The sequence below is a fragment of the Homo sapiens genome, chromosome 19 (assembly GCF_000001405.40).
Source record: "Homo sapiens chromosome 19, GRCh38.p14 Primary Assembly".
In the NCBI taxonomy this organism is placed as follows: domain Eukaryota; kingdom Metazoa; phylum Chordata; class Mammalia; order Primates; family Hominidae; genus Homo; species Homo sapiens.
The window spans coordinates 12036484-12059224 of record NC_000019.10 but is presented as its reverse complement, the minus strand read 5'-3'; the positions used below and the strand labels follow the sequence as shown (position 1 = coordinate 12059224).

Here is a 22741-nt window from a genome sequence, read left to right as displayed (position 1 = left end):
TCCCTGCTTTCCTCCTGTGTGTGTATGTAAAGTAAAGAAGGAAAATTCTAAGAAAATGTAAATGCATTAAAAGACTTCTAGGCTGGGCATGGTGGCTTGCGCCCATAATTCTATCGGTTTGGGAGGCTGAGGCCAGAGGATCACTTGAACCCAGGAGTTCAAGAAATGCCTGGGCAAAATAGTGAGCCCACATCTCTATTAATTAAGAAAAAATTTCCATATCATGGTGGTGGAGGCAATGGCCACTGAGGAACCCACGGTCTGGACACAATGGCACTGGCTGGACACAATGAGGGGACAGGAAGAAAGCAAAGACGGGGAGTAGGGTGGGCGAGAGGCCAAGGGGAGGGATAGCACACATTTTTCAGAGAAAAAGAGGATGCCAGCACTGTTTTGCCTGACTCTTTGGCAGCCTGTAATAAGTTGTGGGGGAGGCCGGGTGCAGTGGCTCACGCCTGTAATCTTAGCACTTTGGGAGGCCAAGGCAGGCAGATCACCTGAGGTCGGGAGTTCAAGACCAGCCTGACCAACATCGAGAAACCCTGTCTCTACTAAAAATACAAAAATTAGCTGGGCATGGTGGTGCATGCCTGTAATCCCAGATACTTGGGAGGCTGAGGCAGGAGAATCGCTTGAACCCAGGAGGCAGAGGTTGCGGTGAGTGGAAATCGTGCCATTGCACTCCAGCATGGACAACAAAAGCAAAACTCTGCCTCAAAAAAAAAAAGTTGTGGCGGAATCGTGTCTGGAAGACTCACCTATGATGTTTGTGTCACATTAAGGGAGAAGACTCCAAGGTGGAGTTTCTACTCTTACTTCAACCATTGTATTTAATTCTTTTTCTAGAGAGGACACACTCATGCCATGATTTGTGTTTCCTTAGGAATACCGTTAAAAACCTAGGCCAGGCACGGTGGCTCACGCCTGTAATCCCAGCACTTTGGGCTGCCCAGGCGGGCACATCACTTGAGGCCAGGAGTTGGAGGCCAGCATGGTGAAACCCCGTCTCTACTAAAAATACAAAAATTAGCCAGGCGTGGTGGTGCATGCCTGTAATCTCAGTTACTCGAGAGGCTGAGTGAGGCACAAGAATCGCTTGAACCAGAGAGGTGGAGGTTCAGTGAGCCAAGATCGCGCCACTGCACTCCAGCCTGGGAGACAGAGCAAGCCTCCATTTCAAAAAAATAAAAAAAATAAATAAAGCAAGCAACTCTTCTTTCCCAGTTCATCTGCATCTCATTATTGGGCACAGAGAATAAGCAGCCCAATCCTCGGTTTGCTGGGAACAAGGGTGCAAGGAGAGCAGGTAGGGTTCAGGCCAAGACCAAAATGAGAGGAGGAAATGTGACCTGCAGAGGGTTTGGGGTTGTGAAAATGAGTTGTTCAAAATCTGAGTAAGAAAGAACTGAGCCCATTTCTTTGAAGTATGTGTTTTCCAGAAAGGCCATTCCCTGCTTTTCACTTTCATAAACTCACAACTGAATTCTGATCCTTTGGACAATGTGAAGCTGACAGGACACACACCCACACACCCACCGCCCACTGACTAAGCCTCCCTGGCCCCCTTCCTTCTCCTCCTGGGCTGCACATCCCTCCCGACCGCCTCCCCTCCCCTATCGTCCCCTCCTGTCCCTTTCCCTTCCCTTCTTTTTTTCCTTCCTTTCTTTTCTTTCTGATGGAGTCTCGTTCTGTCGCCCAGGATGGAGTGCAGTGGTGCCATCTCGGCTCACTGCAACCTCCACCTCTCAGGTTCAAGCTATTCGCCTGGCTAATTTTTTTTTTTTTTTTTTTTTGAGACTGAGTTTCACTCTTGTTGCCCAGGCTGGAGTGCAGTGGCGCGATCTCGGCTCACCACAACCTCTCCCTCCCGGGTTCAAGCGATTCTCCTTCCTCAGCCCCCCAAGTAGCTGGGACTACAGGCGCCTGCCACCACGCCTGGCTAATTTTTTGTATTTTTAGAAGAGACGAGGTTTCACTATGTTGGCCAGGCTGCTGGTCTCGAACTCCTGACCTCATGATCTGCCCGCCTTGGCCTCCCAAAGTGCTGGGATTACAGGCATGAGCCACCGCACCCAGCCTGTTTTTCCTTATGTCATACATAACGCACAGGAGGAGGCCGGGCGCGGTGGCTCACGCCTGTAATTCCAACACTTTGGGAGGCCGACGCGGGCGGATCACGAGGTCAGGAGATCGAGAGCATCCTGGCTAACACAGTGAAACCCCGTCTCTACTAAAAATACAAAAAATTAGCCGGGCGCGGTGGCCGGCACCTGTAGTCCCAGTTACTCGGGAGGCTGCGGCAGGAGAATGGCGAGAACCCGGGAGGCGGAGCTTGTAGTGAGCCGAGATCGCGCCACTGCACTCCGGCCTGGGCAACAAGAGTGAAACTCAGTCTCCAAAAAAAAAAAAAAAAAAAATTAGCCGCGCGTGGTGGCGGGCGCCTGTGTAGTCCCAGCTACTCAGGAGACTGAGGCAGGAGAATGGCCTGAACCCGGGAGGAGGAGCTTGCAGTGAGCCGAGATCGCGCCACTGCACTCCAGCCTGGGCGACAGAGCGAGACTCCGTCACAAACAAACAAACAAAACAAAATAAAAAAAAGCACCACAGGAGGAAAGCAGAGACTCTGCTGGCGTCTTATTCACACACTGGGATTGAGGGTGTTTGTTTCTAGGAACTGATCAATGGGGTAAGAAGCGGCTTAATAACCTGTAGGGGGCAGCAGAGCCGGAGGCCAATGACTCCCCGCTGAGGCTAGTCTGGAGTTTGCAAAAGGAGGGAAAGGGGGCTCCTTTTGCAAACTCCTGGGGGCTTCCCCCGGAGCCCGCCCTCCCTTGAAGGTGGCCTCCAGCTCCAGAAGGAGTGTGGATTCTGGGAAGCTGCAGAGCCCTGGATGGCAGAAGACCCACGTGCAGATGCGCTCGGGGGTTCTGTCCTATCTGGGGTTGTACCTTTCAGAGGTACCTTCAGGCCTGGAGCTATTTTCTGGGCAGTGTTTTGGTTTTGGCATGCACAGGGTCGCTGGGGACAGACTGTAATTGATATATATGAAGCAAATCTGTGAAGGTCAGCCTCAGAGAACAAATTGTTTGGGTTGTGTTATGAACAAAGGGTTTATAAAGTTGACTTTATTTAAGTCATAATGTCAGGGGTGTTTGAAGCAGAGTGAAACCATCTTGAATAGGGGCTGGGTAAAATAAGGGTGAGACCTACTGGGCTGCATTCCCAGGTGATTAGGCGTTCTTAGTCACAGGATGAGCTAGGAGGTCGGCAGGACTGGTATCACAAGATACAGGTCATAAAGACCCCACTGATAAAACAGAATGCGCTGAAGAAACCAGCCAAAGCCCACCAAAACCAAGTTGGCGACGAAAGTGACCTCTGCCACCCTGGGCAACACAGTGATACCCCATCTCTACAAAAAATACAAAAATTAGCTGATTGTGGTGGCCTGTGGCTGTAGTCTCAGCTACTCAGGAGGCTGAGCTGGGAGGATTGCTTGAGCCTGGGAGGCAGGGGCTGCAGGAAGGCAGAGAGGCTGCAGCGAGCTATGATTGCGCTGCTGCACTCCAGCCTGGGCGAGGGAGTGAGACTCTGTCTCAAAAAAAAAAAGAAAAGAAAAGAAAGTGACCTTATGTGGTCCTCACTACTTATTATACACTAATTATAAAGCATTAACATGCTAACAAACACTCCCACAAGCGCCATGGCAGTTTACAAATACCATGGCAATATCCAGACGTTACCCTATGTGGTATAACAAGAGGTAGGAACCCTCAGTTCTGGGAATTGCCTGCCCCTTTCCCAGAACACTCATGAATAATCCACCCCTTGTTTAGCACATAATCAAGAAATAACTATAAGTATACATTGTCAGGCAGACCATGCTGCTGCTCTGTCTATGGAGTAGCCATTCTTTTGTTTCTTTACTTCTGTAATAAACTTGCTTTTACTTTATGGACTCACCCTGAATTTGTTCTTACATGAGGTCCAAGAACTCTCTTTTGGGGTCTGGATTGGTACCCCTTTCTGGTAATAAGATTAAACTGACTCCAGGTGAGAGTTTCCCGCTAATGAAAATGAAGGTGTGGAGAGGAGGGGGAGTTTCCACACTGTGAGGAGAAGATGGGTGTATGTGAGGAAACCTTGGCCATGCCTCATCCCGATTCTTGCCCCACTGCAGGAGATCTGTCTCTCCCTCCTGGAGCAGTCATACATGGCCTTGTTCCCCTCCTGCCCTGAGACAAGGGGATGGCTTTGTGGGGGTGATAGACTCTTCGTGTCCTAAAGGTTTGCTGAAAACTAATTGATCTGAGGCAGATTGATTAATAGAAAAGAAGGCATGCAAATGTATTTAACATGTATACATGGGAACCTTCAGAATGAAGACACACCCAGCTATAAGACAGAGAAGATTATATAGCGACCTGAGGTCAGTAAATTAGGTTTAGTAGCAAGACAGCTTAGTAGACTGAGAAAGGAAGAGGCTTGGCTAGAGGTGGACTGTTACGTAGATGATGTCTCCCCCAGAGAATAGACTTTTTTCCTTTTTATGAGACAAGGTCTCACTCTGTCACCTAGGCTCGAGTGTAATGGTGCAATCTCTGCTCACTACAACCTCCGTCTTCTGGGTTCAAGCAATTGTCCTGCTTCAGCCCCCCGAATAGCTGGGATCACAGGTGTGTGCCACCAAACCCAGCTCATTTTTATATTTTTGGTAGAGATGGGATTTCGTCAAGTTGGCCAGGCTGGTCTCAAACTCCTGACCTCAAGTGATCCACCCACCTCGGCCTCCCAAAGTGCTGGGATTACAGGCATGAGCCACCATGCCTGGCCCTAATCTATTTACTTATCTTTTTGGTAGAGACCTGGTCTCACTGCGCCCGGCCACTGGTTTTTTGTTTTGTTTTGTTTTGTTTTTTTGAGACACAGTCTTGCTCTGTGGCCCAGGCTGGAGTACAGTGGTGCGATCTCTGCTCACTACAAGCTCCACCTCCCGTGTTCTCGCCATTCTCCTGCCTCAGCCTCCCGAGTAGCTGGGACTACAGGCGCCCACCACCACGCCCGGCTAATTTTTTTTTTGTATTTTTAGTAGAGACGGGGTTTCACCGTATTAGCCAGGATGGTCTCGATCTCCTGACCTCGTGATCCGCCCACCTCGGTCTCCCAAAGTGCTGGGATTACAGGCGTGAGCCACTGCGCCCGGCCAGCGCCCGGCCATTTAAAAAAATTTTAAATAATAAAGACAGGGATCGGCGGGCGAGGTGGCTCACGCCTGTAATCCCAGCACTTTAGGAGGCCGAGGCGGGCGGATCACCTGAGGTCGTGAGTTCGAGACCAGCCTGACCAACATGGAGAAACCCCGTCTCTACTAAAAATACAAAATTAGCGGGGCGTGGTGGCGCATGTCTGTAATCCCAGCTATTTGGGAGGCTGGGGCAGGAGAATCGCTTGAACCTGGGAGGCGGAGGTTGCAGTGAGCCAAGATCTCGTGCCACTGTGCTCCAGCCTGGGCGACAGATCGAGACTGTCTAAAAAAAAAAAAAAAAAAGAAAGAAAGACAGGGATCTCGCTGTGTTGATGATGTTGGCCTCAAACTCCTTGCTTCAAGGGATCCTTCCGCCTCAGTTTGCCAATGTGGTGGGATTATAGACATGAGTCACCATGTGCTACCTCTCTTCAGATTTTAAAGGTGTCAAACTCTCAATAGCTTTTAGATCAGGGAAAGGAAAAGAACGGGGGAGCTGGCAGTGCTTCATTAACGGAGATTCTCTACAAATGTAAATTTCCCCCTCAAAAGACAGTTTTGCAAGGCCACCTTTTGTTTGCTGGCCAAGCAGCAGCCATTTCAAAACTGTCAAAGAAATATATTTTGGCAGGGCAATATCTTGGGGCAAAATATTTTAATGTCTTTCACATTTTGTGGACACTGAATCTGGAATTCCCTGCACACTTGTGTCCCGTGTAGGATGAAGGGGCAGGGACGGCCCACGGAGTGAGGAAGACAACAGTGTCCCTTCTAGCAGTTCGGAGCAAGTTTGGCCGAAGGCAAATATTCGAAGTAAAGGTGGGAGGGAGGGAGGGAGCTGACCTTGGAAAGTGTGGCCAGAACCAGTCGCTTCGGCTCTGCAGCGCCCAGTTACCCGGGGCTTCTGCTGTCACTCAGGGAAGGGGGCGGAGTCTAGACCCCTATCCAATCAGGGGCGCTAGGGCGGGGCCCTGCCACTGTCCTCCAGGGAAGGGGAGGTTGCATTCCCGCTCTCTTCACTCCTAGGGCTGCTCGCGCTAGTTAAGGTCTGGGGCTTTCTTGCTCCGAGAGGGACCAGTTACTTCCGCCGTAGCTGCTGTTGCTCTGTCGACTGCGCTGTGACCTGCACTGTTCACGGGACCTTTAGAGAGGACGCCAGAATACCTGGAAGCCAGGAAATGGTGAGCATGCGGTGCTGGGGAGTCCCAAGGCGAAAGGAGGGACTGGGTGGAACCGAGAGGAACCCGCTGTGGCGGGGCCCGGGCCCCCCTGCAGCGACTCTGGGCTCCAGACACAGTCCCCCTAGCGCAGCTCGGCCCTCGGTCCCCTCGGCCGCTGGGTGGAGCTGGGCCGGCAGCCGGGACCCCGGGCGTCCTGTCCGGTCCCTGCGCGGCGACTGCGGCCCCGGCCCCGGCTCCCTCTCTGAGCAGCTCCGCGCCCGCAGCCCCGCGTCTCCCCAGATTGTGCGGTGACCATGGAAGGGTCATGGGGGATCCTGCCTCGGGTGTGGGGTTCGTGTGGGAGGAGCTGTGGGCTGTGGGGTCCCCAGTTCCTTTTTTTTTCCAGTTAAAAATTAAACTGAGGCACTGTTAAAAAATGAGAGTTTATTTTAGCAAACAGCGATTAATGAATGAGAAACTCCCAGTCCTGGCTTGTGGTTTGGTAACGGAAAAACCCAAATCGTGTAGAATAAGTTTATTCTGAGCCGAATAGGAGAGACCTCGGCTGAGGGAAACACAACCCCGCGAAGTCTGGAGTAAGCAATCCCGAGGCAGCTCCTGACAGTTTGGTTTTATTCATTTCAGGGAGACAGGAATTGCAGGAAAATGATGAATCAGTGCCGGGAAGGTGTAAGTTCCTTTGGCCGAAAGGCGGGACACATGGAAGCGGGGTTAGAAGGCACAGGTGGTGGAGGGATTCTGTAGGTGGCAGTTGGTTGAGAGTGTGTAAAGCTTTGTCTAAAATTTGGAGGCTGTAGGAAGGAGGGCTGTTATCTGCCACGTTATTCCATCCCAGTCCCCGCCCCCTTCCCCAAAAGACCTGTTTTTATTTTACCAGATTTTTATATTTTTGAGACGGAGTCTCGCTCCGTCGCCCCAGGCTGAAGTGCTGTGGCGCCATCTCGGCTCACTGCAACCTCCGCCTCCCGGGTTCAAGCGATTCTCTTGCCTCAGCCTCCCGAGTAGCTGGGACTACAGGCGCCAGCCACCACGCCCGGCTAATTTTTGTATTTTTAGTAGAAACGGGTTTCACCATATTGGCCAGGCTGGTCTTGAACTCCTCCTGACTTTGTGATCCGCCCACTTCGGCCTCCCAAGGTACTGGGATTACAGGCGTGAGCCACTGCGCCCGGCCAATTTTTGTATTTTTAGTAGAGACGGGGTTTCATGATATTGGCCAGGCTGGTCTCGAACTCCTGACCTCGTGATCCACCCTCCTCGGCCTCCCAAAGTGCTGGGATTACAGTGGAATGCCCCACTGCACTCCAGCCATGGTGAAAGAATGAGACTGTCTCAAAAAAAAAAAGTTAAGCTCCTTCTTATATAGGCAAAAAACAAAGAAATTTAATTATCGCAACAATTAGTACAACTAAATTAATTGTACAATTAATTTAATACAACTAATTAGTACAACTAAATTAATTATACAATTTAGTTACAGGTTTTTTTGTTTGTTTGTTTGAGACGGAGTTTCGCTCTTGTTGCCGAGACTGGAGTGCAATGGCGCAATCTCGGCTCACTGCAACCTCCGCCTCCCCGGTTCAAGCGATTCTCCTGTATCAGATTACAGGCGTGAGCCACCGCGCCCGGCCCAGGACTTTAAAATTTTCTTTGCAAGGGGTTTTAATTTCTTTTCTTTTCTTTTTTTTTTTTTTTTTTTTTTTGAGACGGAGTCTCACTCTGTCACCCAGGCTGGAGTGCAGTGGCGCGATCTCTGCTCACTGCAAGCTCCGCCTCCCGGGTTCACGCCATTGTCCTGCCTCAGCCTCCCAAGTAGCTGGGACTACAGGCGCCCGCCACCGCGCCCGGCTAATTTTTTTGTATTTTTTAGTAGAGACGGGGTTTCACCGTGTTAGCCAGGATGGTCTCGATCTCCTGACCTCGTGATCCACCCACCTCGGCCTTCCAAAGTGCTGGGATTACAGGCGTGAGCCACCGCGCGCGGCCGGTTTTCATTTCTTTTCTTATTTAAAAAAGTGAATTTAACATTTCCAGCTTCAGAAGATGTGATGGCCATGAAGTCTTTGTGTAAGAAAAGTAAGAGGGAAGTTAGTCTATAATGAAATCAATCCTTAAGAGGGAAGGGGTCTTTCCTGACTTGCTTGTCATTTAAAATATTTTACAAAACAATATAGGTAAGAAAGAAAGCTAATCTGTAATCAGGGAATGGAAGGTTCCCTGGCTGGCTCTGTTACCGCTGCCTGTGAGGTGTCTCAACCCCAGAATGGCATTCCTTTAAACCTCAAGATAATTTAGAGTTCCAGCAGCTTAAATTTTTGAATCACCTATTTTCACATTCTGTACAGGTGAAACTTTTGGTTATGTAATCAGAGATTAATTGACCTATTGTGCCTGGTTAAGCCTAAATTTCATTTCCCTATAAATTAGTCATTAGTGATATTGTTTCCTCAGGCCACAGATTAGAAATTTATGTGAATTGGATTTGAATTTGGCTTCAGTATGCTTGTGAAGGGTCTTAGTGTTCTATAGCCAGTTCAGTTTAATTGCTTCTTATTTATTTATTTATTTACTTTTGAGACGGAGTCTCTTTCTGTCGCCCAGGCTGGAGTGCACTGGCATAATCTTGGCTCACTGCAAACTCCACCTCCCGGGTTCAATCGATTCTCCTGCTTCAGCCTCCCAAGTAGCTGGGACTACAGGTGCATGCCACCATACCTGGCTAATTTTTGTATTTTTAGTAGAGACAGGGTTTCACCATGTTGGCCAGGCTGGTCTCAAACTCCTGATCTCAGGTGATCTGCCTGCTTTGGCCTCCCACAGTGCTGGGATTACAGGCATGAGCCACCGCACCCGGCCAAAATTGGATGTTTTAAAATTGGATGCCATGTCAGTAAGAATATACTTGGGAACACCACCCAGGAAAATGAATAGTCCTTGGGCAGTTCTGGTGTGTTTCTTTGATGTCATCTAACTATGGCACACAAAGGTGGTCAAAATTTTGATTCTTTTGGTTATTCTTTTTTTTTTTGAGATGGAGTTTCGCTCTTGTTGCCCAAGCTGGAGTACAATGGCGTGAGTTCAGCTCACTGCAACCTCCACCTCCCAGGTTCAAGTGATTCTCCTGCCTCAGCCTCCCGAGTAGCTGGGATTACAGGCATGCGCCACCACACCTGGCTAATTTTTGTATTTTTAGTAGAGATGGGGTTTCACTAGGTTGGCCAAGCTGGTCTTGAACTCCTGACCTCATGCTCCACCCGCCTTGGCTTCCCAAAGTGTTGGGATTACAGGTGTGAGCCACTGTGCCCGGCCTGTTATTCTTTTTTTTTTTTTTTTTTTTTGAGAGGGAGTCTCGCTCTGTCGCTCAGGCTGGAGTGCAGTGACACCATCTCTGCTCACTACAACTTCTATCTCCTGGGTCCAAGCGATTCTCCTTCCTCAGCCTCCCAAGTAGCTGGGATTACAGGCACCTGCCACCACACCTGGCTAATTTTTGTATTTTTAGTAGAGATGGGGTTTCACCACTTTGGCTGAGCTGGTCTTGAACTCCTGACCTCAGGTGATCCACCTCCCAAAGTGCTGGAATTACAGACATGAGCCACCGCACCCAGCCTTCTTTTTGTTATTCTTTGTAGCTGTATTATCTTTTTTTTTTTTTTTTTGAGACGGAGCTGCCTCTCGCCCAGGCTGGAGTGCAGTGGCGTGATCTCGGCTCACTGCAACATCTGCCTCCTGGGTTCAAGCGATTCTCCTGCCTTAGCTTCCCGAGTAGCTGGGACTACAGGTGCATACCACCACACCCAGCTAATTTTTATATTTTTAGTAGAGATGGAGTTTCACTATATTGGCCAGGCTGGTCTCAAACTCCTGACTTTGTGATCTGCCCACCTCAGTTTCCCAAAGTGCTGAGGCACCGCGCCCAGCCTTTCTTTCTTTTCTTTTCTTTTTCTTTTCTTTTTTTTTTTTTTTGAGACAGAGTCTTGCTCTGTTGCCCAAGCTGGAGTGCAATGCACGATCTTGGCTCATTGTAATCTCTACCTCCTAGGTTCAAGTGATTCTGCTGCCTCGGCCCCCCAAGTAGCTGGGATTACAAGCGCCTGCCACCATGCCCAGCTGATATTCGTATTTTTAGTAGAGACGTGGTTTCACCTGGTTGGCCAGGCTGGTCTCGAACTCCTGAGCTCAGGTGATCCATCTGTGCCTGCCTCCTAAAGTGCTGGGATTACAGGTGTGAGCCACTGTGCCAGGCCTGCCATATTTTTTCTTTTTTTTTTTTCTTTTTTTGAGATGGAGTCTCGTTCAGTCGCCCAGGCTGGAGTGCAGTGGCTCGATCTTGGCTCACTGCAAGCTCCGCCTCCCGGGTTCATGCCATTCTCCTACCTCAGCCTCCCGAGTAGCTGGGACTATAGGCGCCCGCCACCAAGACCGGCTAGTTTTATGTATTTTTAGTAGAGATGCGGTTTCACGGTGTTAGCCAGGATGGTCTCAATCTCCTGACCTCGTGATCCACCCGCCTCGGCCTCCCAAAGTGCTGGGATTACAGGCATGAGCCACCGCGCCCAGCCCAGGCCTGCCATATTTTCTTTTATCACAAAGTAGAATTTTGGCTGTTTGGAGTTTCCAGTAACTTAGTATTGCAATTAATGTACCTTTCATGTTATACCAAAAGGGTTTGTTTCTGACTTTTTGCCTCATTCTGTTGCAAACATGCCACTGTGTTGAGTCATGGGTTGCCCAGTTTACTTATGCATTTCACTGCTTAATGGGATTTGGGTTTACAGTTTAGTTTTTGACCTTGGTGACAATGTCATGGTTGGTTTTCTTTGCCATATGAAAATGGAACATAAATTTCTCACATATTGGGGGAAAAGTCACTGGGTTGTATATTATGGATAAATTCCAATTTGAAAGATAATGCCAGTAGAGTGTATGTATGGATCAACCATCTAGCCTTTCATGTGTGTGTCTTTATTTTTGTGGTTTACCAACACTTGGGATTATCTATTAGTAGAGACAGGGTTTCATCATATTGATCATGCTGGTCTTGAACTGCTGACATCAGGTGATCTGCCCGCCTTGGCCTCCCAAAGTGCTGGAATTATAGGCATGAGCCACTGTGTCCAGCCCAGTTTAGGTTTTTCTATCTACATACAGTTTCCCAGAAAGGTTTCTTTTTGTGAGTTTTTGTTTTAGTTAGTTATGACTCTCTTATCAATTAGAATTTTTTTTTTTTTTTAACCGATGGAGTCTGGCTCTGTCACCCAGGCTGGAGTGTGGTGGCACGTTTTTGGCTCACTGCAACCTCTGCCTCATGGGTTCAAGTGATTCTCCTGCTTCAGTCTCCCAAGTAGCTGGAATTACAGGAGCCCATCACTATGCCTGGCTAATTTTATTATTTTTAGTAGAGACGGGGTTTTGCCATGTTGGCCAGGTTGGTCTCAAACTCCTGACCTCAGGCGATCCGCCCGCCTTCACCTCCCAAAGTGCTGAGATTTATAGGCATGAGCCACCGTGCCTGGCCAGACTCTCTTATCAGTTAGATTAATAAAGCCCCTTGCCAAACCCAGTTTTTTTGTTTTTGGCTTCTGCTACTGGAATCAGAAGAAAACCCACTTTCTAGTCATCACAAAGGTTCAACTTTGTGAACAGGCGTTTTCAAGAATATGCAGGCTTAGGGCTGCTCACGTTAAATTTGTTTTGCTCAGAAATTCAAAGGAGTTTGTTAAGATAGGTGCTGCAGATCCACACTTCGGACATTAAGGGCAGTCCAGGCAGCACGACTTTCTCCCTGGACTCACCAGAAACACACATTTTTCCTATTCTGCTGTTGCTTTACCCCATCCAGAGTTCAACTCTAGCATCAAAATTGTTTTATGGAAGAAAGTGAGTGTAGACAGAGTAAGGGATCTGATGACCAAGTCATGGAATAAATGTTTGGAGTCCACACACCACAGCATCCTGAGAACTTCCTAGGAATAGGGTATAGAAACCCAGTGCTGTCAGCCTCACTCATCCTCCTGTCCACATGTGGGATATTTCAGGATTCGGTGGCCTTTGAGGATGTGGCTGTGAACTTCACCCAGGAGGAGTGGGCTTTGCTGGATCCTTCCCAGAAAAATCTCTACAGGGAAGTGATGCAGGAAACCTTGAGGAACCTGACCTCCATAGGTAAGAATGACAGTATTACTTCCCTCAGTGAATTAAAGAACAGGTGTTTCTAGCTCATCAGTGCTGTTGAGTGATTTGGAATATGGTCAGGGAATACTTTGAATAAATGAGACACAGGTGCAATGAGCCATGGACATAGAATCAAGTAACTTTTTAAAATAATTTTATACTAATTCAGGACTATTTTTCTGGGTCCGCATTTTAGGAAAAAAATGGAACAACCAGTACATTGAAGATGAGCACCAAAATCCTAGGAGAAACCTAAGGTAACTGGCACTTAAAAGAGAAAACAATGTCTCTGTATACAATCTTAGAATGGAAGAAAAGGTTAAAAAGAAGCAAGCATAAGAAACAAACCTAGTTCCAATGTATTTATTCTTAGAAAAGCTTCCCTAGAAACATATAAAGTGTGACATGGCTTATGTGTATAATCCAGCCCTTTTGGAGGTCAGGATGGAAGATCGCTTGAACCTGGGAGTTTGAGGTTGCACTGAGTCATGATGGCATCACTGGAGGGCAGCCTGGGCCACAGGGTGAGACCCTGACTCAAAACTAAACAGACAAAAAGACAAAGACCGTATTTATAAAATAGTCTACTTTAAAATAGCATGTAAAAGCTGGACATGGTGGCTCACACCTGTAATCCCAGCACTTTGGAAGGCTGAGGTGGGTGGATCATGAGGTCAAGAGATTGAGACCATCCTGGCCAACATGGTGAAAGCCTGTCTCTACTAAAAATACGAGAAATTAGCTGGGCGTGGTGGTGCGTGCCTGTAGTCCTTGGGAGGCTGAGGCAGGAGAATCGCTTGAACCTGGGAGGCGGAGGTTGCAGTGAGCCAGGATGGTGCCACTGCACTCCAGCCTGACGACAGAGTGAGACTTGGTCTCATAAATAAATAAATAAATAAATAAAGCATTTAAAATCCCTGTATCAATATTATCTTTTTTGATAAGAGATATGGCTGGGCCATCTTTGTTTGTTTGTTTGAGACAGTGTCTCGCTCTGTCACCCAGGCTGGAGTGCAGCGGTGTGATCTCGGCTCACTGTAAGCTCTGCCTCCCGGGTTCACACTATTCTCCTGCCTCAGCCTCCCCGTAGCTGGGACTGCAGGCACCTGCCACCACGCCCGGCTAATTTTTTGTATTTTTTAGTAGAGACAGGGTTTCACCATGTTAGCCAGGATGGTCTCGATCTCCTGACCTCATGATCCACCCTCCTCGGCCTCCCAAAGTGCTGGGATTACAGGCGTGAGCCACCATGCCTGGCCTGGCTAGGCCATCTTGTATAGCATGTGTTCCATTCATGTTCAGACAGGACAGAAAGCCTACACTTTGCTGGGCACTGTTAAAAATGCAAGTGTAATACTTGCAAAGGAATTAAAATTAGTGATAAACCCATTATAATGTGCTTTCATTGTTCACAGAAGACTTATAGGGGAGAGACTCTCTGAAAGTAAAGAAAGTCATCAGCATGGAGAAGTTTTGACACAGGTTCCAGATGACACACTGAAGAAGAAAACTCCTGGAGTACAATCATATGAAAGCAGTGTGTGTGGAGAAATCGGCATAGGTCTTTCATCCCTTAATAGGCACCTCAGAGCCTTTAGTTATTCCAGTAGCCTTGCAATACATGGAAGAACTCACACTGGGGAAAAGCCTTATGAATGTAAGGAATGTGGGAAAGCATTCAGGTTTCCCAGTTCTGTTCGTAGACATGAAAGAATCCACTCTGCAAAAAAACCCTATGAATGTAAGCAGTGTGGGAAAGCATTCAGTTTTCCCAGTTCTGTTCGTAGACATGAAAGAATCCACTCTGCAAAAAAACCCTATGAATGTAAGCAGTGTGGGAAAGCATTATCTTATCTTGTAAGCTTTCAGACACACATGAGAATGCACACTGGAGAGAGACCTCATAAATGTAACATATGTGGGAAAGCCTTTTTTTCTCCCAGTTCGTTAAAAAGACACGAGAAAAGTCACACTGGAGAGAAACGCTATAAATGCAAGCAATGTGATAAAGCCTTCAATTGTCCCAGTTCCTTTCAATATCATGAAAGGACTCACAGTGGAGAGAAACCCTATGAGTGTACACAATGTAGGAAAGCCTTCAGATCTGTCAAGTACCTGCGAGTACATGAAAGAAAACACACTGGAGAGAAACCCTATGAGTGTAAGCTATGTGGTAAGGGATTTATTTCTTCCACTTCCTTTCGCTATCATGAAAAGACTCACACTGGAGAGAAACCTTATGAATGTAAAAAATGTGTGAAAGCCTTCAGTTTTGTCAAGGATCTTCGAATACATGAAAGGACACACACTGGAGAGAAACCCTTTGAATGTAAACAATGTGGGAAAACCTTCACTTCTTCCAATTCCTTTCACTATCATGAAAGGACTCACACTGGAGAGAAACCCTATGAGTGTAAGCAATGTGGGAAAGCCTTCAGATCTGCCTCAGTCCTTCAAAAGCACATACGAACTCACACAGGAGAGAAACCCTATGGATGTAAGCAATGTGGTAAAGTCTTTAGAGTTGCCTCACAACTTAAAATGCATGAAAGGACTCACACAGGAGAGAAACCCTATGAGTGTAAGCAATGTGGAAAAGCCTTCATTTCTTCTAATTCTATTCGCTATCATAAAAGGACTCACACTGGAGAGAAACCCTATAAATGTAAACAGTGTGGGAAAGCCTTCATTTCTTCCAACTCTTTTCTCTACCATGAAAGGATTCATACTGGAGAGAAACCCTATGAGTGTAAGCAATGTGGTAAAGCCTTTAGATCTGCCTCAATCCTTCAAAAGCATGTAAGGACTCACGCTGGCTAGAAACTCTATGGATGTAAGCAATATGGTAAAGTCCTTAGATGGGACTCAGAACTTCAAATGCACGGAAGGATTCACTGCAGAGACACCTGTAATCTCAGCATTTTGGGAAGCCAAGGCAGGAGGATTGCTTAAGCTGAAGAGGTTGAGACCAGCTTGGGCAATATGGTGAGACGTTATCTCTATTACATAATAAAATAAAATAGGCCAGGCACAGTGGCTCATGCCTGTAATCCCAGCACTTTGGGAGGTGGAGGCAGGGAGATCACCTGAGGTTGGGAGTTCGAGACCAGCCTGATCGACATAGAGAAACCCCATCTCTACTAAAAATACAAAATTAGCCAGGTGTGGTGGCAGGCACCTGTAATCCCAGCTACTTGGGAGGCTGAGGCAGGAGAATCGCTTGAACCCGGGAGGCAGAGGTTGCAGTAAGCCGAGATTGTGCCATTGCACTCCAGCCTGGGCAACAAGAGTGAAACTCCATCTCAAAAATAAATAAATAAATAAATAAATAAGATGAAATATACATATTTATATTTTGTATATAAATATGCATGTATATTTTAACATATAACTATATTTAAAATGCATAAGGAAAATATATAGGATATTTACATACATACATAGATGTATATATGTATTTGTGTGTGTGTGTGTGTGTGTGTGTGTGTTTTGGGAGACAGGGTGTCCCTCTGTCACCCAGGTTGAAGTGCAGTGGTGCAATCACAGTTCCCTGCAGCCTTGAACTCTTGGGCTCAAATGATCCTCTTGCCTTAGCCTTCTGAGTAGCTATGACTACAGACAGGTATCACCATTCTTAGCTCATTTTTCATTCCTTTCATAGAGACAGGTTCTCATTCCATTGCTCAGGCTGGTTGTGAACACCTAGTCATGAGCAATCCTCCCACCTTAGTTTCCAAAAGTGCTAGGATTATAGCTGTAAGCCACTCTACCTGGCTGATAAACATATTCTGAAAAGTTAACTTTATGATGTCCGTGCAGGTACATATCCTGAGGATAAAACAGTTTTGATTTTAAAGAAGGAAACTACTTCTTTCCTACATGAAAGTGAGAAAGATGTGGGAGAAAGCCTGTCTATTTCCAGCCTTGCAACCAGAGCCCCAGGGGTTGAGGACAGAACTGTGATCCAGTTGCCTTGCCCTGGAAAGCCAGGCATTTACACTGGGGTTTGAAGTGATGTGGAAAAAGCCTTTTATTGCAGAGTCCCAATCAAGGAGGACCACACAGGCATAAAGTCTTTTTTTTTTTTTTTGTATTTTTAGTAGAGATGGGGTTTCACCATGTTAGCCAGGATGGTCTTGATCTCCTGACCTTGTGATCCGCCCGCCTCAGCCTCCGAAAGTGCCGGGATTATAGGCGTGAGCCACTGCGCCCAGCCAAAGTCTTAAATCCTGACCTCCCCCACTGGATTGCAGGCAGGGATTTTTAGAAGCAGGGGTAAGTTTTAGGAATGTAGATGCTACAGGCAAAATAACAAATGAATACATGGAGATTACTCATTGGTTTATGCTTGAAAGGGTGGGATATTTTAAAGCTGGGGCTTACAGTTTAAAGATTTTCTGATTTGCAATTCCTTAGGGAAGAAAAGCTTTGTTTAAAATTTGGGGGTCAGCAGAAAAAAAAGTAGAGGAAGTGACTTTTCACAAGTCCTTCAGGAAGAAACCTAAAACAAAGGAGGATAATTAGAGTGCAGTCTTCACTTCTGCTTTATCTGGTGTCTAAGTACCAGGGAATTCCTTCAGTGGGGGTCCAAGACTTTGACAACTTAGGGACAAATTCGAAGGTGCTATCCTTAGTTTTTCTGCTTAGTTTGTTTTGTTTGGGACAGTCTCCATCTGTCACTTAGGCTGGAGTGCAGTGGCTTGATCACTGCTCACTGCAGCCTATGTCTCCCAGGCCCATGGGATCCTCCCATCTCAGCCTCCCGAACAGCTGGGACTACAAATGTGAGCCACCACACCCATCTAATTTTTTTTTTTTTTTTTTTTTGAGACAGAGTCTTGCTCTGTCGCCCAGGCTGGAGTGCTGGAATGCAGTGGCACGATCTCGGCTCACTGCAGGCTCCACCTCCTGGGTTCACACCATTCTCCTGCCTCAGCCTCCCGAGTAGCTGGGACTACAGGCGCCCGCCACCATACCCGGCTAATTTTTTGTATTTTTTAGTAGAGAAGGGGTTTCACCGTGTTAGCCAGGATGGTCTCGATCTCCTGACCTTGTGATCCGCCCGCCTCGGCCTCCCAGAAGGCTGGGATTACAGGCGTGAGCCACCGCGCCTGGCCCACACCCATCTAATTTCTTTTCTTTTCTATATATTTTTTTTTTTTTGAGACGGAGCCTCGCTCTGTCGCCCAGGCTGGAGTGCAGTGGCACAATCTCAGCTGGGATTACAGGCATGTGCCACAACGCCCGGTTAATTTTGTATTTTTAGTAGAGATGGGGTTTCACCATATTGGCCAGGCTGGTCTCAAACTCCTCACCTTGCGATCTGCCCACCTTGGCCTCCCAAAGTGCTGGGATTACAGGCATGAGCCACCGCGCCCGGCCACACCCATCTAATTTCTTAATTTTTTGTAGAGACCTGGTCTCCCTATGTTGTCCACGGTACTCTAGAACTCCTGGGTTCAAACAGTCCTTCTGCCTTGGCCTCCCAACGTGCTGAAATTACAGGCATGAGCCACCATGACTGGCTATCTAGTTTTCATGGGAAAACAAATATTTCTGAAATTTTAACTTTTTTGGCTATTGTGTTAGGCTGTTATTTTCTTGTTTAATAAATTGCATATTTATTCCTGGGACTAGTTTGGTATGTGGAATTTCTTTCTTTTTTTTTTTTTTGAGACAGAGTCTCGCTCTTGTCACCCAGGTTGGAGTGCAGTGGCGTGATCTCGGCTCACTGCAACGTCCACCTCCTGGGTTCAAGCAGTTCTCCTGCCTCAGCCTTCTGAGTAGCTGGGACTACAGGCGTGTGCCCCCATGTTTAGCTAAATTTTATACTTTTATTTATTTATTTTTTTGAGATGGACTCTTGCTCTGTCGCCAGCCTGGAATGCAGTGGCGTGATCTTGGCTCACTGCAGCCTCCGTCTCCCTGGTTCAAGGGATTCTCTTGCCTCAGTTTCCTAAGTAGTTGGGACTACAGGCATGCGCCACCACACCTAGCTAATTTTTGTATTTTTAGTAGAGACGGGGTTTTCCCATGTTGGCCAGGGTGGTCTTGATCTGTTGACCTTGCGATCCGCCTGCCTTGGCCTCCCAAAGTGCTGGGATTACAGGCGTGAGCCACCACTCCCGGCCTGTTTTTTTTTTTTTTTTTTTTTGAGACGGAGTCTTGCTCTGTCCCCCAGGCTGGAGTGCAGTGGCGCCATCTCCGCTCACTGCAAGCTCCGCCTCCCGGGTTCACGCCATTCTCCTGCCTCAGCCTCCCGAGTAGCTGGGACTACAGGCGCCCGCCACCACGCCTGACTAATTTTTTGTATTTTTAGTAGAGACGGGGTTTCACCGTGTTAGTCAGGATGGTCTCCATCTCCCGACATCGTGATCTGCCCGCCTCGGCCTCCCAAAGTGCTGGGATTACAGGCGTGAGCCACCGCGCCTGGCCAGTTTTTTTTTTTTTTTTTTTTTTTGAGACAGAGTCTCGTTCTGTCACCCAGGCTGGAGTGCAATGGCACAATCTCATCTCACTGCAACCTCCGTCTCGTGGGTTAAAGCAATTCTCCTGCCTCAACCTCCCAAGTAGCTGAGATTACAGGCCCCCCACCACCACGCCTGGCTAATTTTTTTGTACTTTTAGTAGAGACGGGGTTTCACTATGTTGGCCAGGCTGGTCGCGAACTCCTGACCTCCTGACCTGCCAGCCTTGGCCTCCCAAAGTGCTGGGATTACAGGCGTGAGCCACCGCGCCTGGCCAGTTTTTTTTTTTTTTTTTTTTTTTTTTTAAGACATAGTTTTGCTCTGTTGCCCAGGCTGGAGTGAAGTGGCATGATCTTGGCTCACTGCAACCTCCGCCTTCCGGGTTCAAGTGATTCTCCTGCCTCAGCCTCCTGAGTAGCTAGGATTACAGGTGCCCGCCACCACGCCCAGATAATTTTTGTATATTTAGTAGAGACGAGGTTTCACCATGTTGTCCAGGTTGGTCTCGAACTCCTGACCTCAGGTGATCCACCTGCCTCGGCCTCCCAAAGTGCTGGGATTACAGGAGTGAGCCACCCTGCCCGGCCATATTTAGGTACTGTTAATTTTGTAAAATATCCAGGTGTGGTGGCATGTGTCTATGGTCACTGCTTGTCAGGAAGCTGAGTCAGGAGGATTAGTTTAATGCTGCACTGTTCCCCAGTCTGGACTAGGTAGGAAGATCTTGTCTCTAAAAATAAAGAAAAATAAATAAATTTTAAAATAATCAAAAAGTAGAAATGAAGGCCGGGCATGGTTGCTCAGGCCTGTAATCAATCCCAGCACTGTGTGAGAGGTCAAAGTGGGCAGATTGCTGGAGCCCAGGAGTTTAAGACCAGCCTGGGCAACATAGTGAGAATTTGTGTCTACAAACTAACACTAAAATTAGCCAGGCATGGTGGCACGGGCCTGTGGTCCCGGCTACTCAGGAGGCTGAGGTAAGAGGATTGCTTTAACCCGGGAGGTAGAGGTTGCAGTGAGCTGAGATCACGCTAGTACATTCCAGCCTGGATGACAGAGTGAGGCTCTGTCTCCAAAAAAATAAAAAATTAAACAAATAGAAGTGAAAATTAAGGTACTGAAAAGAAAACTTGATAAACAACATAAGTCTCCTTTGCCTCTGCATGACCTCATTGGTCTAGCTATATTCCCATTTATACTTAGTTTTCCATGAGGGAAATAACAATTGCTTAGCTACCTTTGGAGGAGGAAAAAGTGTCTGGAAGTACTAATGTACCTGGCAGAACATTACCAGAGGGAAGAAGCAGAGTAGAAAGTTTTTTTTTTTTGTTTTGTTTTTGAGACGAAGTCTCGCTCTTGTCCCCCAGATTGGAGTGCAGTGGTGCGATCTCGGCTCACTGCAACCTCTGCCTCCCAGGTTCAAGCAATTCTCCTGCCTCAGCCTCCCGAGTAGCAGGGATTGCAGGTACATACCACCACGCCCGGCTAATTTTTTGTATTTTAAGTAGAGACGGGGTTTCACCATGTTGGCCAGGCTGGTCTTGAACTCCTGACCTCAGGTAATCCACCCGCCTCGGCCTCTCAAAGTGTGGGGATTACAGGCATGAGCCACCGCGCCCAGCCTTTTTTTTTTGAAGATAGAGTCTCACGCTGTCACCCAGGCTGGAGTGCAGTGGCGCGATCTCAGCTCACTGCAGCCTCCACCTCCCAGGTTCAAGCAATTCTCATGCCTCAGCCTCCCGAGTACCTGGGATTACAGGCATGTGCCAGCATGCCCAGCTAATTTTGTATTTTTAATAGAGATGGAGTTTCTCCATGTTGGTCAGGCTGGTCTTGATTTCCTGACCTCAGATGATCTGCCCACCTCGACCTCCCAAAGTGCTGGGATTACAGGTGTGAGCCACCAAACCCAGCCCACACCCAGCTAATTTGTGTGATTTTAGTAGAGATGGGGTTTCACTGTGTTGGCAAGGCTGGTCTTTAACTCCTGACCTCACGTGATCTGCCTGCCTTGGCCTCCTAAAATGTTGGGATTATAGGCATGAGCCACTGCATCTGGCCCTCAGAGTGGAATGTTCTTTAGATCACATATTATTGCTGTACTCAGTTTCCATGGCTGAGGAAATAGTGCTGTCAATTAAATCAATAGGGAATGGCACTTCCTCTTGAGGGAACAATTAGTAAACCTTCAACCAATTGTCCTTTTCCAGTCATTTAGTGTCTGTATATGAATTCCAACATCATTGCTGCCAGCAGCTAAAATTATGATTCCATATCTGAAGTCACCTTTGCAAAAAGTATAACATAAGTCTACCTTGTCTCAGAGTGACCCCATCAACCTAGCCATGTTTTCATCTTTGTACAGTCTTCCATAAGGGAAGTAATTGCTTAGCCACATTTGGAGGAGGAAAAAGTGGCAGTGGAAGTAGTAACGTGCCTGGCAGGACTTCACTGCAGAGAAGAAGCAGAGTGGGAACTTCTTTAGATCACATATCATTGCTATACTCAGTCTCCATGGCTCAGGAAATAGTGCTTTCAGGTAAATTAGTAAGGAGTGCCACTTCCACCTGATGGAGCAGTTAGTAAATCCTCAACCAATTATCCTGTTCCAGTGATTTAGTTGCTGTATAAGAGTTCCAACATAAATGTTGCCAGGAGCTAAAAGTATGACTCTACATCTGAAAACCCTTTTGCAAGAATTATAACAGTGAGAAAATTATGACAGTGAAAGAGATCAGATCTAAGCGAACTCCATCTTTTCTTTAGCCTCCAAGCTACCCTTGTTCATTCCCGGGTATAGGTCTTACTAATATTGGAAGGAGTTTAGTTTAGCTTTAAAGCAAAAGTCATAACTGCCGCTTCCGTAAAGAAATTGTCTCCTTGCTTGGGAACCAGATTGCCTTTGTAAAACTAAGAAATTAGCCACAAGATTAGAAATTATGGTTCAGGAAATATGCGGCCAGAGTACACAAGATTCCCAACCTTCTCACTTGCTCCTGTGGATAATATTATTGTTGTAAGACCTAAGATTGGTGTTTGAGGTATTTTTGAGACCCTTCATTCTGATAAATTTGCTGGCATCACACAGACCAATAAACTGGCTCACCTGCTCCAGTGGCCCCTAGCCAAGAACTGACTCAGTGCAAGAAGACAGCTGAGACTTCCTGTGATATCCTTTTCGCGACCAATCAGCATTCCCCATTTTCCAGCCTTCTGCTCACCAAATTATCTTTAAAACCCTAGCCTCGGCCGGGTGCGGGGGCTCAGGCCTGTAATCCCAGCACTTTGGGAGGCCGAGGCGGGTGGATCATGAGGTCAGGAGTTTGAGACCAGCCTGACCAACATGGTAAACCCCGTCTCTACTAAAAATACAAAAATTAGCCGGGCATGGTGGCGCATGCCTGTAATCCCAGCTACTCAGGAGGTTGAGGCAGGAGAATCGCTTGAACCCGGGAGGCGGAGGTTGCACTGAGCCGAGATTGCGCCACTGCACTCCAGCATGGGCGACAGAGAGATTCCGTCTCAAAAAAAAACCAAAAAAACAAAACCTAGCCTCCCATTTTTTAGGGAGACAGAATTGAATAAAAATAAAACTCTTCTCTTTCATTTAGCCGGCTCTATGTATATTAAACTCCACTGCAATTCCCTGTCTTTTTTTTTTTTTTTTTTTTCGG

The 22741-nt window shown here is 47.3% G+C and overlaps 1 protein-coding gene and 1 long non-coding RNA gene across 6 annotated transcripts in view, besides 2 other annotated features; one reads left to right on the top strand and one right to left on the bottom strand.

Annotated features, from left to right (window-relative positions):
• Positions 5925–6430: an enhancer, noted in NCBI's record as "H3K27ac hESC enhancer chr19:12163610-12164115 (GRCh37/hg19 assembly coordinates)". NCBI's record gives its function as "activates a minimal SCP1, AML or CMV promoter by ChIP-STARR-seq in naive H9 embryonic stem cells {active_cell/tissue: H9 hESC(naive)}" and the evidence as "EXISTENCE:reporter gene assay evidence [ECO:0000049][PMID:30033119]".
• On the top strand, positions 6264–15623 carry ZNF878 (zinc finger protein 878). Of its 4 annotated transcripts, none has more exons than XM_047439308.1 (4): positions 6264–6426; positions 12465–12591; positions 12797–12857; positions 14019–15623. In XM_047439308.1, exons 1-4 carry the CDS (start codon positions 6424–6426, stop codon positions 15418–15420), a joined length of 1593 nt encoding a protein of 530 aa, XP_047295264.1. In that variant the 5' UTR covers positions 6264–6423; the 3' UTR covers positions 15421–15623. The 4 variants fall into 4 exon arrangements, with proteins under 4 accessions (XP_047295264.1, NP_001073873.2, XP_016882685.1 ...); NM_001080404.3 differs by having other exon boundaries at positions 14016–15420; XM_017027196.2 differs by lacking the exon at positions 6264–6426 and having other exon boundaries at positions 11996–12591; positions 14019–15578.
• Positions 6619–6668: a silencer, noted in NCBI's record as "silent region_10140". NCBI's record gives its function as "represses an Ori minimal core promoter by ATAC-STARR-seq in GM12878 lymphoblastoid cells {active_cell/tissue: GM12878}" and the evidence as "EXISTENCE:reporter gene assay evidence [ECO:0000049][PMID:35858748]".
• The window catches only part of ZNF433-AS1 (ZNF433 and ZNF878 antisense RNA 1), a 58659-nt gene continuing 48867 nt past the window's right edge, over positions 12950–22741 (bottom strand). For both annotated transcript variants that reach the window (NR_134928.1, NR_134929.1), the window contains one exon: positions 12950–13143. This is a non-coding gene — a long non-coding RNA (ZNF433 and ZNF878 antisense RNA 1). The remainder of the gene's footprint in view (positions 13144–22741) is intronic.